The sequence below is a fragment of the Homo sapiens genome, chromosome 21 (genome assembly GCF_000001405.40).
Source record: "Homo sapiens chromosome 21, GRCh38.p14 Primary Assembly".
NCBI classification, from domain to species: domain Eukaryota; kingdom Metazoa; phylum Chordata; class Mammalia; order Primates; family Hominidae; genus Homo; species Homo sapiens.
The window spans coordinates 10,664,007-10,681,143 of NC_000021.9; the positions used below are offsets into that span (position 1 = coordinate 10,664,007).

At 39.5% G+C, this 17,137-nt stretch overlaps 8 annotated features.

Annotated features, from left to right (window-relative positions):
- Window positions 1,431–1,946: an enhancer, noted in NCBI's record as "OCT4-NANOG hESC enhancer chr21:10846505-10847020 (GRCh37/hg19 assembly coordinates)". NCBI's record gives its function as "activates a minimal SCP1, AML or CMV promoter by ChIP-STARR-seq in primed H9 embryonic stem cells {active_cell/tissue: H9 hESC(primed)}" and the evidence as "EXISTENCE:reporter gene assay evidence [ECO:0000049][PMID:30033119]".
- Window positions 4,903–5,780: an enhancer, noted in NCBI's record as "OCT4-NANOG hESC enhancer chr21:10842671-10843548 (GRCh37/hg19 assembly coordinates)". NCBI's record gives its function as "activates a minimal SCP1, AML or CMV promoter by ChIP-STARR-seq in primed H9 embryonic stem cells {active_cell/tissue: H9 hESC(primed)}" and the evidence as "EXISTENCE:reporter gene assay evidence [ECO:0000049][PMID:30033119]".
- Window positions 9,814–10,321: an enhancer, noted in NCBI's record as "OCT4-NANOG hESC enhancer chr21:10838130-10838637 (GRCh37/hg19 assembly coordinates)". NCBI's record gives its function as "activates a minimal SCP1, AML or CMV promoter by ChIP-STARR-seq in naive H9 embryonic stem cells {active_cell/tissue: H9 hESC(naive)}" and the evidence as "EXISTENCE:reporter gene assay evidence [ECO:0000049][PMID:30033119]".
- Window positions 10,322–10,830: an enhancer, noted in NCBI's record as "OCT4-NANOG hESC enhancer chr21:10837621-10838129 (GRCh37/hg19 assembly coordinates)". NCBI's record gives its function as "activates a minimal SCP1, AML or CMV promoter by ChIP-STARR-seq in naive H9 embryonic stem cells {active_cell/tissue: H9 hESC(naive)}" and the evidence as "EXISTENCE:reporter gene assay evidence [ECO:0000049][PMID:30033119]".
- Window positions 11,264–11,923: an enhancer, noted in NCBI's record as "OCT4-NANOG hESC enhancer chr21:10836528-10837187 (GRCh37/hg19 assembly coordinates)". NCBI's record gives its function as "activates a minimal SCP1, AML or CMV promoter by ChIP-STARR-seq in naive H9 embryonic stem cells {active_cell/tissue: H9 hESC(naive)}" and the evidence as "EXISTENCE:reporter gene assay evidence [ECO:0000049][PMID:30033119]".
- Window positions 11,924–12,584: an enhancer, noted in NCBI's record as "OCT4-NANOG hESC enhancer chr21:10835867-10836527 (GRCh37/hg19 assembly coordinates)". NCBI's record gives its function as "activates a minimal SCP1, AML or CMV promoter by ChIP-STARR-seq in naive H9 embryonic stem cells {active_cell/tissue: H9 hESC(naive)}" and the evidence as "EXISTENCE:reporter gene assay evidence [ECO:0000049][PMID:30033119]".
- Window positions 13,907–14,566: an enhancer, noted in NCBI's record as "OCT4-NANOG hESC enhancer chr21:10833885-10834544 (GRCh37/hg19 assembly coordinates)". NCBI's record gives its function as "activates a minimal SCP1, AML or CMV promoter by ChIP-STARR-seq in primed H9 embryonic stem cells {active_cell/tissue: H9 hESC(primed)}" and the evidence as "EXISTENCE:reporter gene assay evidence [ECO:0000049][PMID:30033119]".
- Window positions 14,567–15,228: an enhancer, noted in NCBI's record as "OCT4-NANOG hESC enhancer chr21:10833223-10833884 (GRCh37/hg19 assembly coordinates)". NCBI's record gives its function as "activates a minimal SCP1, AML or CMV promoter by ChIP-STARR-seq in primed H9 embryonic stem cells {active_cell/tissue: H9 hESC(primed)}" and the evidence as "EXISTENCE:reporter gene assay evidence [ECO:0000049][PMID:30033119]".

Genomic DNA, 17,137 nt, shown 5'->3' on the forward strand with positions numbered 1-17,137 from the left:
ATTCCATTCAATTAAATTCCATTCCATTCCTTTTGATTCCATTCCATTCCATTCAAATCCATTCCATTCCAATCCCTTCGAGTCCATTCCATTACATTACATTCTATTCCATTCAAGTCCATTCCATTACATTTCATTCCATTCCATTCCATTCCATTCGAGTCCATTCCATTGCATTCCATTCCATTCCTTTCGAGAACATTCAATTCCATTCCATTTCAATTGAGTCCATTCCATTGCATTCCATTCCATTGACATCCATTCCATTGTATTCCATTTGAGTCCATTCCATTAAATTCCATAGTATTCCATTCGAGTCCATTCTATTCCATTTTTTTCCATTCATGTCCATTCCATTCCACTTGAGTCCATTGCATTCCATTACTTTTGAGTCCATTCCATTCCATTCAATTCTTTTCCAATCAAGTCCACTAGATTCCATTCTATTCCATTCAAGTCCATTCCACTCCATTCCACTCTAGTCCGTTACATTCCTCTCCATTCCATAAAAGTCCATTCCATTCTACTCCTTTCGATTCCATTCCATTCCATTCTATTCCATTTGAGTCCATTCCATTCCATTCCATTAGAGTTCCTTTCATTCAAAGCAATTCCATTCCAGTCCATTCCGTTCCATTACTTTCCATCCCATTCCATTTGTCTCCATTCCATACCAATTCATTCCATTTGAGCTCATTCCATTCCATTCCATTCGGTCCATTCCACTGAATTGCTTTCCAGTCAATTCCATTCAATTCCATACACATCCATTCCGTTGCATTCCATTCCATCGAGTCCATAGCATACCATTCCATTCGAGTCCATTCCATTACATTCCATTCCATTCCTTTCGCTTCCTTTCAATTCTTTTCCATTCCATTCTAATACATTACATTCTATTCCATTCGAGTCCATTCCATTCAAATCCATTTCATTGCATTCCATTCCATTCGAGTCCATTCCATATTATTCAGTTCGAGTCCATTCCATTAGATTCCATTCCTTTAGATTTCATTCCACTCCTTTTGAATCCATTCCATTTCATTCCCATCGAGTCCATTTCATTCCATTCCATTCTATTCCATTCAAGTCCATTACTTTCCATTTCATTACATTCCAATCAAGTCCATTCCATTACATTCCATTGCACTCCATTCCATTCCATTCGTGTCCATTCCATTGCATTCCATTCCGTTCCTTTCGAGTCCATTCAATTCCATTAAATTCCATTCGAATACATTACATTCTAATCCATTCGAGTCCATTCCATTCGAATCCATTCCATTGCATTCCATTCCATTCAAGTCCATTCCATTCTATTCCATTCGAGTCCATTCCATTACATTCCATTTTTTTAGATTCCATTCCTTTAAATTCCATTCCATTCCTTTTGAGTCCATTCCATTCCATTCAAATCCATTCCATTCCATTCCCATCAAGTCCATTCCATTCCATTCTATTCCATTCAAGTCCCTTCCATTCCATTTCATTACATTCCATTCCAGTCCATTCCATTCCATTTCATTCGAGTCCATTCCATTACATTCCATTCCATTGCTTTCTAGACCATTCAATTGCATTCCTTTTCATTCAAATCCATTCCATTCGAGTCCATTCCATTGCATTCCATTCCATTGACATCCATTGCATTCTATTCCATTCGAGTCCATTCCATTAGAGTCCATTCCATTAAATTCCATTGTATTCCATTCGAGTCCATACCATTCCATTTTTTTTTCCATTCGTGTCCATTCCATTCCATTTGAGTCCATTGCATTCCATTACTTTTGAGTCCATTCCATTCCATTCAATTCTTTTCCAATCAAGTCCATTAGATTCCATTCCATTCCATTCAAGTCCATTGCACTCCATTCCATTCTAGTCTGTTACATTCCACTCTATTCCATACGAGTCCATTCCATTCTACTCCTTTCGATTCCATTCCATTCCATTCTATTCCATTTGGTCCATTCCATTACATTCTATTCTGCTTGAGTCCACTCCATTCCTTTCAATTCCATTCCATTCCTTGGCATTTGAATCCATCCTATTCCATGCTATTCCATTTGAGTCATTCCATTCCATTCCGTTAGAGTCCGTTTCATTCAAAGCAATTCCATTTCTGTCCATTCTTTTCCATTCCATTCCATCTCATTCCATTCATCTCCATTCCATACCATTCCATTCCATATGAGCTCATTCCATTCCATTCCTTTCGGATCCATTTCATTCAATTGCTTTCCAGTCAATTCCATTCAATTCCATACACGTCCACTCCGTTGCATTCCATTCCATTGAGTCCATTGCATACCATTCCATTCGAGTCCATTCCATTGCATTCCATTCCATTCCTTTCACTTCCTTTCAATTCCTTTCCATTCCATTCTAATACATTACTTTGTATTCCATTCGAGTCCATTCCATTCGAATCCATTTCATTGCATTCCATTCCATTCGAGTCCATTCCATACTATTCAATTTGAGTCCATTCTATTTGATTCCACTCCTTTTGAGTCCATTCCATTCCATTCAAATCCATTCCATTCCATTCTCATCGAGTCCTTTTCATTCCATTCCATTCTATTCCATTCAAGTCCATTCCATTCCATTTCATTACATTCCAATCAAGTCCATTCCATTCCATTCCATTCCAGTCCATTCCATTCCATTGCATTCGTGTCCATTCCATTGCATTCCATTCCATTCCATTTGAGACCATTCAATTCCATTCCATTCCATTCGAGTCCATTCCATTGCATTCCATTCGACTCCTTTTGAGACTATTCGATTCCATTCCATTTCATTCGAGTCCATTCCATTTGAGTCCATTCCATTGCATTCCATTCCATTGTCATCCACTCCATTCTATTCCATTCGAGTCCATTCCATTCCATTAAATTAGAGTCCATTCCATTAAATTCCATTGTATTCCATTTGAGTCCATTCTATTCAATTCCTTTCCATTCCTGTCCATTCCATTCCACTCGAGTCCATTCCATTCCATTACTTTTGAGTCCATTTCATTCCATTCAATTCTTTTCCACACAAGTCCATTGGATTCCATTCCATTTCATTCAAGTCCATTCCACTCCATTCCATTCTAGTCCGTTACATTCCAGTCCATTTCAATGCAGTCCATTCCATTCTTCTCCATTCAAGTCTATTCCATTCCATTCCATTCGAATCCATTCCATTCCATTCCATTCCATTCCATTCCATTCCATTCCATTCCATTCCTTTCCGTTTGAGCGCACTCTATTCCTTTCGATTCCATTCCATTCCATTGAATTTGAATCCATTCAATTCCGTGTGATTCCATTTGATTCCATTCCATTCCATTCCATTAGAGTTCCTTCCATTCAAAGCAATTCCATTCCATTCCATTCCATTCCATTCATCTCCATTCCATACCATTACATTCCGCTTGAGCTCATTCCATTCCATTCCATTCGAGTCCATTCCATTGCATTCCATTCCATTCGAGTCCATTGTAGTCCATTCCATTCGAGTCCCTTCCATTGCATTCCATTCCATTCCATTCGAGTCCATTCCGTTCCATTCTATTTCATTTCATTCCATTCCATTCCATTCCAATGCATTCTATTCTATTCCATTTGGATCCAATCCATTGCATGCTATTCCATTGCATTCCAAGCATTTGAGTCCTTTCCATTCCATGCTGTTCCTTTTGAGTCCATTCCATTCCATTCCAATCAAGACGATTCAATTCGAGTCCATTCCATTAAAATCCATTCGAATCCATTCCATTCCATTCCATAACATTCGAGTCCATTCAATTCCATTCCATTCGAGTCCATTCCTTTCCATTACATTACACTAATTTCCAATCCATTCAATTCCATTCGAGTCCATTCCATTCCATTCCATTCGAGTCCATTCCATTGCTTTTCATTCCAATGCCTTCGAATCCATTCCATTCCATTCCATTCCATTCCATTCCATTCCATTCCATTCTAGTCCATTCAAATCCTTTAAATTTGAATCCATTACATTGCATAGCATTCCACTCTAGTCCAGTCCACTTCATTCCATCCAAGTCCACACCATTTCATTCCGTTAGAGTCCATTCCATTTAATTCCGTTGTATTCCATTCGAGTCCATTCCATTCAATTCCTTTCCATTCTATTCGAGTCCATTCCATTCCATTCCATTCCATTCCATTCCATTCGAGTCCATTCCATTCCATTCCATTCCATTCCATTCCATTCCATTCCATTCCATTCCATTCAGGTCCATTCTATTCCATTCCATTCGAGTCCATTCCAATCCATTTCTTTCAAGCCATTCCATTCCACACCATTCCATTTGAGTCCATTACATTCTATTCCACTCGAGTCCATTCCACTCAATTCCATTTGAGTCCGTTCCATTGCATTCCATTCCATTAGAGTCTATTCCATTCCATTCAATTTGTGTCCGTTCCATTCCATTCCATTCCATTTTTTTATTCCATTCAATTCCATTCCATTCCTTTCCAGTCCAGGTCATTGCATTCCATTCGAGTCTTTTCCACTCCATTCCAATCCATTCCATTCCTTTCGAGTCCATTCCATTCCATTCGACTCCATTCCATTCCATTGCATTTCATTCTTTCGAGTACATTCCATTACATTCCTTTCGAGTCCATTCCATTAGATTCCATTACTTTAGATTCCATTCCAATAAATTCCATCCTGTTCCTTTTGGAGTCCATTCCATTCCATTCAAATCCATTGCATTCCATTCCTTTCGAGTCCATTCCATTGCATTCCTTTCTAGTCCATTCCATTAGATTCCATTACTTTAGATTCCATTCCAATAAATTCCGTCCTATTCCTTTTGGAGTCCATTCCATTCCATTCAAATCCATTGCATTCCATTCCCTTCGAGTCCATGCAATTCCATTTCATTCTATTCCATTTAGGTCCATTTCATTGCATTTCATTCCATTCCATTCCATTCCATTCCATTCCATTCCATTCCATTCCATTCCATTCCATTCAATTCCTTTCCATTCCATTCGGGTCCATTCCATTCCATTCAAGTCCATTTGAGTCCATTCCATTCCATTTCATTCGATTCCATTTGATTCCAAACCATTTCATTCGAGTCCATTCCATTCTATTCCATTCGAATCCATTCCATTCCATTCGAGTCCATTCCATTCCATTCCGTTCGAATCCATTCCATTCCTTTCCATTCCATTCGAGTATATTCCACTCCATTCAATTCCATTCCATTCCATATCATTCCATTCTATTCTGGTCCATTCCTTTCAATTCCATTAGAGTCAATTCCATTGCATTCCATTCGAGTTCATTCCTTCACATTCCATTCCATTCGAGTGTATTCCAATCCATTCCATTTGAGTGTATTCCATTGCATTCCATTCCATTCTTTTAGAGTCCATTCAATTCTGTTCCATTCCTTTCGAGTCCATTCCATTCCATTCCATTCCATTCCATTCCATTCCATTCCATTCCATTCCATCTGGGTCCATTCCATTCTATTGGCGTCCATTCCATTGGCGTCCATTCCATGACATTCGTGTCCATTCCAATCCATTCCATTCCACTCGGTTCCACTCCATTCCATTCTATTCGAGTCCATTCCATTCCATTCCATTCCATTCGAGTCCATTCCATTACATTCTATTCCATTTGCGTCTATTCCATTCCATTCCATTCGAGTCCATTCCTTTCAATTCGAGTCCATTCCATTCCATTCCATTCGAGTACGTTCCATTCAAGTCCAATCCATTCCATTCCTTTTGATTCCATTCAATACAATTGCATTCCATTCGAGTCCATTCCATTGCATTCCATTCAATTCAAATCCTCTCCATTCCATTTGGGTCCATTCCATCCCATTCCATTCCATTCGAGTCCATTTCATTCCATTCCATTCCATACCATTCGAATCCATTCCATTCCGTTACTTTCCATTCCATTCGAGTCCATTCCATTCCAGTCCATACCAGTCGAGTCCATCCCATTCTATTCCATTTGAGTCCATTGCATTCCATTCCATTCGAGTCCATCCATTCCATTCCATTCGAGTCCATCCATTCCATTCCATTCGAGTCCATCCCATTCCATTCTGTTCCGTTTGAGTCGATTGCATTCCATTCCATTCGAGTCCTTTCCATTCCAACCCATTCGAGTCCATTTCATTCCAATCCCTTCCATTCGAATCCATTCCATTCTATTCCATTCGAGTCCATGCCATTCGATTCCGTTCGAGTCCATTCCTTTACATTCCATTCGATTCCCGTCCATTCCGTTCCATTTCATTCCATTCGAGTCCGTTCCATTTCATTCATTGCATTCCTTTTCGGTCCATTCCATTCCATTCTAGTCCATTCCATTCCATTGAATTCCACTTGAGTAGTTTCCCTTCTATTTCAGTCAATTCTATTCCACTCCACTCCATTCAAGTCCATTCCATTTCTTTCCATTCGAGCACAATCCATTCCATTCCATTGCAATCCATTCCATTCCTTTTGAGTCCATTCCATTCCATTCCATTCCATTCCATTCCATTCCTTTCGAGTCCTGTCAATTCCATTCCATTCAATTCGAGTCCATTCCATTCCATTCCATTCCACTCGAGTCCAGTCCATTCCATTCCATTCCTTTCGAGTCCTGTCAATTCCATTCCATTCCATTCGAGTCCATTCCATTCCACTTGAGTCTGTTCCATTCCATTCCATTCCATTCCATTCCATTCCATTCCGTTTCATTCCATTTCATTCCATTCCATTCGAGTCCATTCCATACCATGACATTCCGTTGTATTCTAGTCCATTCAATTCCATTCCATTCCAATGCATTCCATTCGAGTCCATTCCATTCCATTCCTTTTGGGTCCATTCTTTTCTATTCCATTCGAGTCAATTCCTTTCCATTCCATTAGAGTCCATTCCATTCTATTCCATTCCACTCGAGTCAATTTAATTCCGTTATATTCCATTCGAGTCCATTACATTCCTTTCCATTCTAGTCCATTCCTTTCCATTCCATTCCATTCCACTAGTGTCGTTTCCATACCATTCCATTCCATTCGATTTCTTTCCCTTCCTTTCGAGTACATTCCATTGCATTCCATTTGAGTTCATTCCATTCCATTTCATTCGATTCCATTCCACTCCATTCCATTCAATTCGAGTCTGTTCCATTCCATTCCATTCCATTCGGGTCCATACATTTCAATACCATTTGAGTCAATTCCATTCCATTCCATTGGAGTCCAAGCCATTGCATTCCAATCCATTCGATTCCATTCTGTTCCATTCCATTGCATTCCATTCCATTCTTTTCGAGTCCATTCAGTTCCATTCCATTACTTTCGAGTCCATTCAGTTCCATTCCATTACTTTCGAGTTCATTATATTCCTTTCCATTCGATTCCATTCCATTTCATTCCATTCCATTCTTTTCAAGTCCATTCAATTCCATTCCATTACAATCGAGTCCATTCCATTCCAGTCCATTAGATTCCATTCCATTAAATTACACTGAATTCCGTTCAATTATTTTCCATTCCATTCGTGTACCTTCCATTGCATTCGAGTCCATTCCATTCCCTTCCTTTTGAATCCATTCCTTTCCATAACATTCTATTCCATTAAAGTCCATTCCATTCCATACCATTCAATTCCATTCCAATCCATTGAATTCCACTCCATTCCATTCGTGTCCATTCCATTCCATTCCTTTTGTGGACATTCCATTCCATTCCAATCCATTGAATTCCACTCCATTCCATTCGTGTCCATTCCATTCCATTCCTTTTGTGGACATTCCATTCCATTCCAATCATTTCCAATCCATTCCATTCCAGTTCTTTCCATTCTTTTCCAGTCGACTCCATTCCATTCCATTCCATTGCATTCCATTTCATTCCTTTTGTGTCCTTTCCATTCCATTTCATTCCATGCGAGTACATTCCATTCCATTCAATTCGAGGCCATTCCATTCCAATCGACTCGTTTCCATATCATTCCATACCACTTGAGTCCATTCCATTCCATTCGAGTCCAATCCATTCAATTACATTCGTATCCATTGCATTCCATTCCAGTACATTCCATTCCATTTATTTCATGTACATTCGAATCCTTTCCATTCCATTCGAGTCCATTGCATTCTATTTCATTCAAGTGCATTAAATTCCTTTTCATTAGAATAAATTCCATTAGAGTCCATTGCATTAAATTCCATTCCATTGCTTTCGAGGCCATACCATTCATTTGGCGTCCATTGAATTCCATTCCATTCGAGTCCATTCCATTCCATTCCATTCCATTCCATTCCATTCCATTCCTGTTGGTTCCATTCCACTCCATTGCATTCCATTCCATTCCATTAGTGTACTTTCCATTCCATTCCATTGGGGTCCAATCCATTCCATTCCAGTCCACTCGAGTCATTTCCATTCCATTCCATTCCATTGGAGTCCATTGTATTCCTTTCGAATCCATTCCATTCCATTCCATTCCATTCGAGTCCATTCCATTCCATTCCATTCGAGTCCATTCCATTCCATTCCTTTCATTTCAAGTCCCTTCGCTTCCTTTCCATTCCATTCAAGTCCATTCCATTCTATTCCATTTGGGTCCATTAAATTCCACTTCATTAGAGTCCATTCCCTTAAATTCCATTCAATTGCATTCGAGGACATTCCACACAATTCAAGTCCATTCCTTTCCATTGCCTTCGAGTCCATTCCATTCCAATCCGTAATATTCCATTCAAGTCCATTCCATTCCAATCCTTTCCATTCCATTCAATTCCATTCTATTAAATTGCATTCCCTTCCATTCCATTCAATACTGTTCCATTCCATTCCATTCCATTCTGGTCCGTTTAATTCCATTTGAGTACTTTCCATTCCATTCGATTCAAGTCCATTCCATTGCATTCCATTCCATTCCTTTCATCTCCATTGAATTCCATTATATTCCATTCTAGTCCATTCCATTCGATTCCTTTCTAGTCCATTCCATTCCATTCCATTCAATTCGTGTCCACACCATTATATTCCACTCCATTCGAATCCATTCCATTCTATTCCATTCCAGTCCATTCCATGCCATTCCATTAGAATGCATTCATTAAATGTCACTCCCTTCCTTTGGAGGCCATTCCATTCCATTTGAGTCCATTCTATTCCATTCCACTCCATTCGTGTCCATTCCATTCCATTTGAGTCCATTCCATTCGAGTCCTTTCCTTTCCATTCCATTCCATTCCATTCCTGTTGATTCCATTCCATTCCATTCCATTCCATTCCATTCCATTCCATTCCATTCCGTTCCTTCCCATTCCATTTGAGTCCATTCCATTCCATTTCCTTCAATTCTATTCCATTGGCGTCCATTCCATGACATTCGTGTCCATTCCAATCCATTCCATTCCACTCGGTTCCATTCCATTCCATTCTATTCGAGTCCATTCCATTCCATTCCATTCGAGTCCATTCCATTACATTCTATTCCATTTGAGTCTATTCCATTCCATTCCATTCGAGTCCATTCCTTTCAATTAGAATCCATTCCATTCCATTCCATTCGAGTACGTTCCATTCAAGTCTAATCCATTCCATTCCTTTCAATTCCATTCAATACAATTGCATTCCTTTCGAGTCCATTCCATTCCATTGCATTCCATTCAATTCAAATCTTCTCCATTCCATTTGGGTCCATTCCATCCCATTCCATTCCATTCGAGTCCATTCCATTCCTTTACTTTCCATTCCATTTGAGTCCATTCCATTCCAGTCCATACCAGTCGAGTCCATCCCATTCTATTCCATTCGAGTCCATTGCATTCCATTCGATTCGAGTCCATTCCATTCCATTCTGTTCCGTTTGAGTCGATTGCATTCCATTCCATTCGAGTCCTTTCCATTCCAACCCATTCGAGTCCATTTCGTTCCAATCCCTTCCATTCGATTCCATTCCATTCTATTCCATTCAATTCCATTCCATTCATTTCCATTCGAGTCCATTCCATTTCATTCCATTCTATTCCTATCGAGTCCATTCCATTCCATTCCACTGCATTCGAGTCCATTCCATTCCATTCGAGTCCATTCCATTCCATTCTATTCCATTTCAGTCCATTCCATTCCATTCGAGTCCATTCCATTCCATTCCATTCCATTCCATTCCATTGAATTCCATTCTATTCCGTTTGAGTCTGTCCCCTGCCATTCAATTCAATTCCAGTCAATTCCATTCCATTTGAGTCAATTCCAATGCATTCCTTTCCTTTCAGGACCATTCCTTTCCAATCCATTCGAGTCCCTTCCTTTGAATAACATTGCTTCCTTTCGAGTTCATTCCAATCCATTCCATTCGAGTCCACTCCGTTATATTCCTTTCCATTCGAGTCCATTCCATTCTCTTACATTCGAGTCCATTCCATTCCAATCCTTTAGTGTTCATTCCATTAAATTCCACTCTATTCCATACGGGTCAAATCCATTCCATTCCATTCCATTCCATTCCATTCCATTCTGTTCCATTGAAGTTCATTCCATTCAATACCATTCCATTCCATTCCATTCCATTCCATTCCATTCCATTCCATTCCATTCCATTCCATTTGGGTCCATTTTATTCCATTCTCTTCGAGTCCATTCCATTCAATTCCATTCTGCTCGATTCCAGTCAATTCCATTCCATTGCATTTGAGTCCATACCATTCAATTCCATTCCATTTCATTCGGGTCCATTCCATTCCGTCCCATTTGAGTCCATTCCATTCCATTCCATTCCATTCCACTCAATTCGTTACAATTCTAATCCATTACATTCCATTCTAGTCCATTCCTTTCCATTCGTGTTAATTCCATTCCATAATATTCGAGTCCATCCCATTACATTCGAGTCCATCCCATTCCTTTCTATTCCCTTCCCTTCCATTCCATTGCTTTCAGGTCCTTTCCATTCCGTAGAATTCCATTCGAGTCCATTCCAATCCATTCCATTGTGTTCCTTTCTAGTCCATTCCATTCTATTCCATTCCATTCGGGTACAATCCATCCCATTCCATTCGAGGACATTCCATTCCATTCCACTCAATTGGAGTCAATTCCATTCATTTCCATTCCACTTGAGTCGATTCCATTCCATTCATTTCTTTCAAGTCCATTCCATTCCATTTGAGTCCATTCCATTCCATTGCATTCCATTCGAGTCCATTCCATTCATTCCATTCTATTCCATTCCAATCCATTCTATTTCATTTCAATCCAATCCATTCCATTCCATTCGAGGCCATTCCATTCCAACCATTTCGAGTCCATTCCATTCCAACCCATTCGAGTCCATTCCACTACACTGCATTCCACTCGTTTCCATTCCATTCTATTTCACTGGAGTTCATTCCATTCCCACCCATTCCATTCGGTTCATGTCCATTCCATTTCATTCCATTTCATTCGAGTGCTCTCCATTCCATTCCATTCCTCTCGAGTCGATTACACTCCATTCCATACCATTCGAGTCCATTCTATTCCATTCAAATCCATTCCATTCCATTTGATAGCATTCCATTCCATTCCATTCCATTCCATTCCATTCCATTCCATTCCATTCCATTTCATACCATTCCTTTCAACTGCATTCCTTTCGAGTCCATTCCTTTCCATTCCATTCGAGTCTATTCCATTCCATTCTATTACATTCCCGTCCATTAAATTAATTCCATTCCATTCATTTCGAGTCCATTTAATTCCATTCCATTACTTTCGATTCCATTCCTTTCGATTCCATTCCATTCTATTCCATTCGAGTGCATTTCATTGCATTCCATTCCATTCATTTTGAGTCCATTCCATTCCATTCCATTACTTTCATTTCCATTCCAATCCATTCCATTCGTGTCCATTCCATTAAATTTCATTGTATTCCATTCCATTCCATTCATGTCCATTCTATTCGAGTCCATTCGATTCCATTCAGTACTATTCCTTTCGAGTCCATTCCATTCCAATCCTTTCTTTTCCATTCAAGTCCATTCCATTCCGTTTCATTCCATTCCATTCCATTCCATTCCTTTCCATTCCATTCCATTCCATTCCAATCCTTTCCGCTCGGCTAAATTCCTTTCCATGCCATTCGAGTCCATTCCATGGCATTTGAGTCCATTCCATTCGAGTCCATTCCATTCCACTCCATTCCATTTGATTCCATTCCATTCTATTCCATTCGATTGCTTTCCAATACATTACATTCTAGTACATTCCTTTCCATTCCGTTTTAGTCCATTACAGTCCATTCCATTTCTTTCCATTCCATTCCATTGGGACCATTCCATACAATTCCATTCGAGTGTATTCCATTCCATTACATTCCAGTCCATGCCATTCTATTCCATTTGAGTCCTTTCCATTTCATTCCCTTCCATTTCTTTCAGGTCCATTTCTTTTCTTTCCAATCAATTCCATTCCATTCCATTCAAGTCCATTCCTTTACATTCCATTCCACTCAAGTCATTTTCATTCCATTCCATTCCATTCAAGTGCATTCCATTCCATTCCATTCCATTCAAGTGCATTCCATTCCATTCCATTCCATTCCATTCCATTCCATTGCATTCCATTCCTTTTGAGTCCCTTCGATGCCATTCCATTCCAGTCGAGTCCATTCCATTCCATTCGCATCCATTCCATTAAATTCGAGTCCATTCCATTCGAGTCCATTCCATTCCACTCCATTCCATTAGAGTCCATTCCATTACTTTTGAGTCCATTCAATGCAATTCCTTACCATTCATGTACATTCCATTTAAATTCCATTCCATTCCATTCCATACCTTTCCTTTCCATTCCATTCCATTCTATTCCAATACATTCCATTCCATTCCATTCCATTCCATTCTATTCGAGTACATTCCATTCCCTTCCATTCCAATGGAGTCCATTCCATTCTATTCCATTTGAGTCCATTCTATTCTATTCCATTGGAGTCCATTCCATTCTATTCCACTCGAGTGCATTTCATTACATTCCATTCCATTCGAGTTCATCCCATTCCATTGAATTCGAGTCCAATCCCTTCCAGTCCATTCAATTCCACTACGTACCATTTGATTCCATTCCATTCCATACTTGTCCATTCCATTCCACTCTAGTACTTTTCATTCCATTGCATTTTATTCCATTCGAGTCCATCCCATTCCATTCCATTCGAGTCTATTCCACTCCATTCGAGTCCATTTCATTGCATTCCATTCCAGTCCATTCCATTCCATACTCTTCCATTTGAGTACATTCCATTCCATTCCATTCGAGTTCATTCCATTCCAACCCATTTTTTTCGACTCCATTCCATTTCATTCCTTTCGAATCCATTCCATTCCATTCCATTCCATTCGAGTCCATGCCACTCCACTCCATTCCATTCGAGACCATTCCATTCCATTCCATTAATTTCCATTCTTGTCCATTCCATTCAATTCCATTCGAGTCAATTCTATTCCATTCCATTCGAGTCCATTCCATTGCATTCCATTCCATTCTAGTCCATTCCATTGCATTCCATTCCATTTCAGTCCATTCCACTCTATTCCATTCGAGTCCTTTCCATTGCATTCCATTAGATTCCATTACATTAAATACTATTGTATTCCATTCGAGTCCATTCCATTCCATTCCATTTGTGTCCATTCCATTCCATTTGAGTCCGTTTCATGCTATTCCTTTTGAGTCCATTCCATTCAAATCCATTCTATTCCATTCAAGTCCATTCCATTCCATTCCATTCCATTGGGACCATTCCCCTCCATTCCATTCCAGTCCAATCCATTACACTCCATTCCACTCCCCTCCCTTCTATTCCATTCGAATCCTTTCCATTCCATTCCCTTCCATTTCATTCAGGTACATTACATTCCTTTCCATTCAAATTCATTCCATTCCATTCTATTCGAGTCCATTCCATTTCATTCCATTCCACTCGAGTCATTTTCATTCCTTTCCATCCCATTCGAGTCCATTCCATTCCATTCCATTCCATTCCCTTCCATTCCATTTGAGTCCATACGATTCCATTCCATTCCACTCGAGTCCATTCCATTCCATTCCATTCGAGTCCAATCCATTCGATACCATTCCATTCCCTTCCATTCCATTCGATTCCAATCGATTGTATTCCATTCAAGTCCATGCCATTCTTGTATATTCCATTCCATTACGTTCTATTCCATTTGAGTCCATTCCATTCCATTCTATTCCATTCCATTCCATTCCATTCCATTCCATTCTAATCTATTTCATTCGAGTCCATTCTATTTCATTCCATTCCAGTCCATTCCATTCCATTCTATTCCATTTGAGTCTATTCCATTCCATTCCATTCGAATACATTCCATACCAACGCGTTTCATTCGAGTCCATTCCAATCCCTTGTATTCGAGTCCATTGCATTCCATTCCCTTCCATTCCATTCCATTCCATTCCATTCCATTCGAGTAAATTCCATTCTTTCCATTCCATTCTAGACCATTACCTTCCATTCGAGTCCATTCCATGCCATTCCATTCCATTCCATTCCATTCCATTCCATTTGTTTCCATTCCATTCCATTCCATTCCATTTGAGTCCATCTTATTCGTCTACATTCCATTCCATTCGAGTCCATTCAATTCTATTCCATTCCATTTGAGTCCATTCCAATACATTCCCATTCGAGTCCATTGCATTCCTCTCCATTCCATTCGAGTCCATTCCATTTTATTCCATTTGAGTCGTTGCTATTCCATTCCATTCGAGTGCATTCCATTCTGTTCCCTTAGAGTCTATTCCATTCCATTCCATTCCGTTCAAGTCTCTTCCATTCCATTCGAGTCCATTCCATTCCATTGCATTCGAGTCCAATCCATTCCATGCTATTCTTTTGAGTCCTTTCCATTGGAGACCATTCCTTTCCAACCCATTCCATTCAGGTCCATTCCATTCCATTCCATTCGAATCCATTCCATTCCATTCCATTCCATTCCATTCCATTCCATTCCGGTCCAATCCATTCAATTACATTTGCATCAATTCCATTTAATTCCATTCAAGTCCATTCCGTTACAATCCACTCCATTCGAGTCCAGTCCATTTTATTGAATTCGAGTGCACTCCATTCCATTCCATTACAATGCATTCCATGAAACTCTGTTGTATTCCTTTTGAATCCATTTCATTCCATTCAATTCAATTCGAGCCCTTTCCATTCCATTCCATCCCATTCATGTGCATTCTATTCCATACCTTTTGAGTCCATTCTACTCCTTTCCATTTCATTCGAGTCCATTCCATTCCATTCCATTCCATTAAATTCGAGTACATTCCATTCCATTCCTTTCAAGTCCATTTCATTGCATTATATTACATTCCAATAGAGTCCATTCAATTCCATTCCATTTGAGTCCATTCAACTCCATTCCATTCGAGTCCATTCCATTCCACACCATTCCATTTGAGTCCATTACATTGTATGCCATTCGAGCCCATTCCATTCAATTCCATTAGAGTCACTTCCATTCCATTCCTTTCCAGTCTTTTCCATTGCATTCCATTGCATTCTATTCCCTTCGATTCCATTCCTTTCTGTTCCATTGGATTCCATTCAATTGGAGTCCTTTCCCTTAAGTTCCATTCCATTCCATTTGAGTCCATTCCATTCCATTCCTTTCGAGTCCATTCCATTCCATTCCATTCTATTCCATTCAAGTCCTTTCCATTCGACATTATTACATTCCATTCCTGTCCATTCCATTCCATTCGGGTACATTCCATTCCATTCCATTCGAGTCCATTCCATTCCATTCCACTCCACTCCATTACATTCTACTCCATTCGAATCCCTTCCATTCCATTCCTTTCCATTCCTTTCATGTCCATTCCATCCCATTCCATTCGAGCCCATTTCTTTCCATTCCATTCCAGTCCATTTCTTTCAATTCCATTCCATTACATTACATTCGTGCCCATATTATTCCATTCCATTCCACTCACTTCTTTTCAATTCCATTCCACTACTTTCGAGTCCATTCCATTCCATCTGAGTCCATTCCATTCCATTATTTTCGATACCATACCATTAAATTCCGTTCCATTCCTTTCAAGTCCATTAGACTCCATTCCATTCCATTCGTGTGCATTCCATTCCATTCGAGTCCATTCCATCCCATTCCTTTTGAGTCCATTCCATTCCATTCCATTCTATTCCATTCAAGTCCTTTCCATTCCACATTATTGCATTCCATTCCTGTCCATTCCATTCCATTCGGGTACATTCCATTCCATTCCATTCGAGTCCATTCCATTCCATTCCACTCCACTCCATTACATTCTACTCCATTCGAATCCTTTCCATTCCATTCCTTTCCATTCCTTTCGGGTCCATTCCATTCCATAACATTCGATACCATTTCTTTCCATTCCATTCCATTCAATTACATTCATGCCCATACTATTCCTTTCCATTCCTCTGACTTCTTTTCAATTCCATTCCATTACTTTTGAGTCCATTCCATTCCATGATTTTCGACACCATACCATTAAATTCCTTTCCATTCCTTTCGAGTCCATTAGATTCCATTCCAGTTCATTCCATTGCATTCTCTTCCATTCCATTCCATTTCATTCGAGTGCCTCCATTCCATTCTATTCCATTCGACTCCATTTCATTCCATTCATTCCATTCTATTCTAGTCCATTCCATAACATTACGTTCCATTTGATTCAAGTCCAATCAATTCCATTCCATTTCGTTTGATTCCTTTCCACTGCATTCCATTTGAATCCATTCCATTGCATTGCATTTGAGTCCTTTCTGTTTATTCCATTCGAGGCAATTCCATTCCAATCCATTCGGGTCCATTCCTTTCCATTCCATTGCACTCAAATCGATTAGATTCCATTCCAATCCATTCGGGTCCATTCCTTTACATTCCATTGCACTCGAATCGATTAGATTCCATTCCATTCCATTCGGGTCCATTCCATTCCAATCCATTCCATTCGAATCCATTCCATTCCAGTCCATTCCATTAGGGTGCATTCCATTCTATTCCCTTTGAGTCAATTCCATTCAATTCCATTCAAGTCCAATCCTTTGCATTCCATTTCATTCCT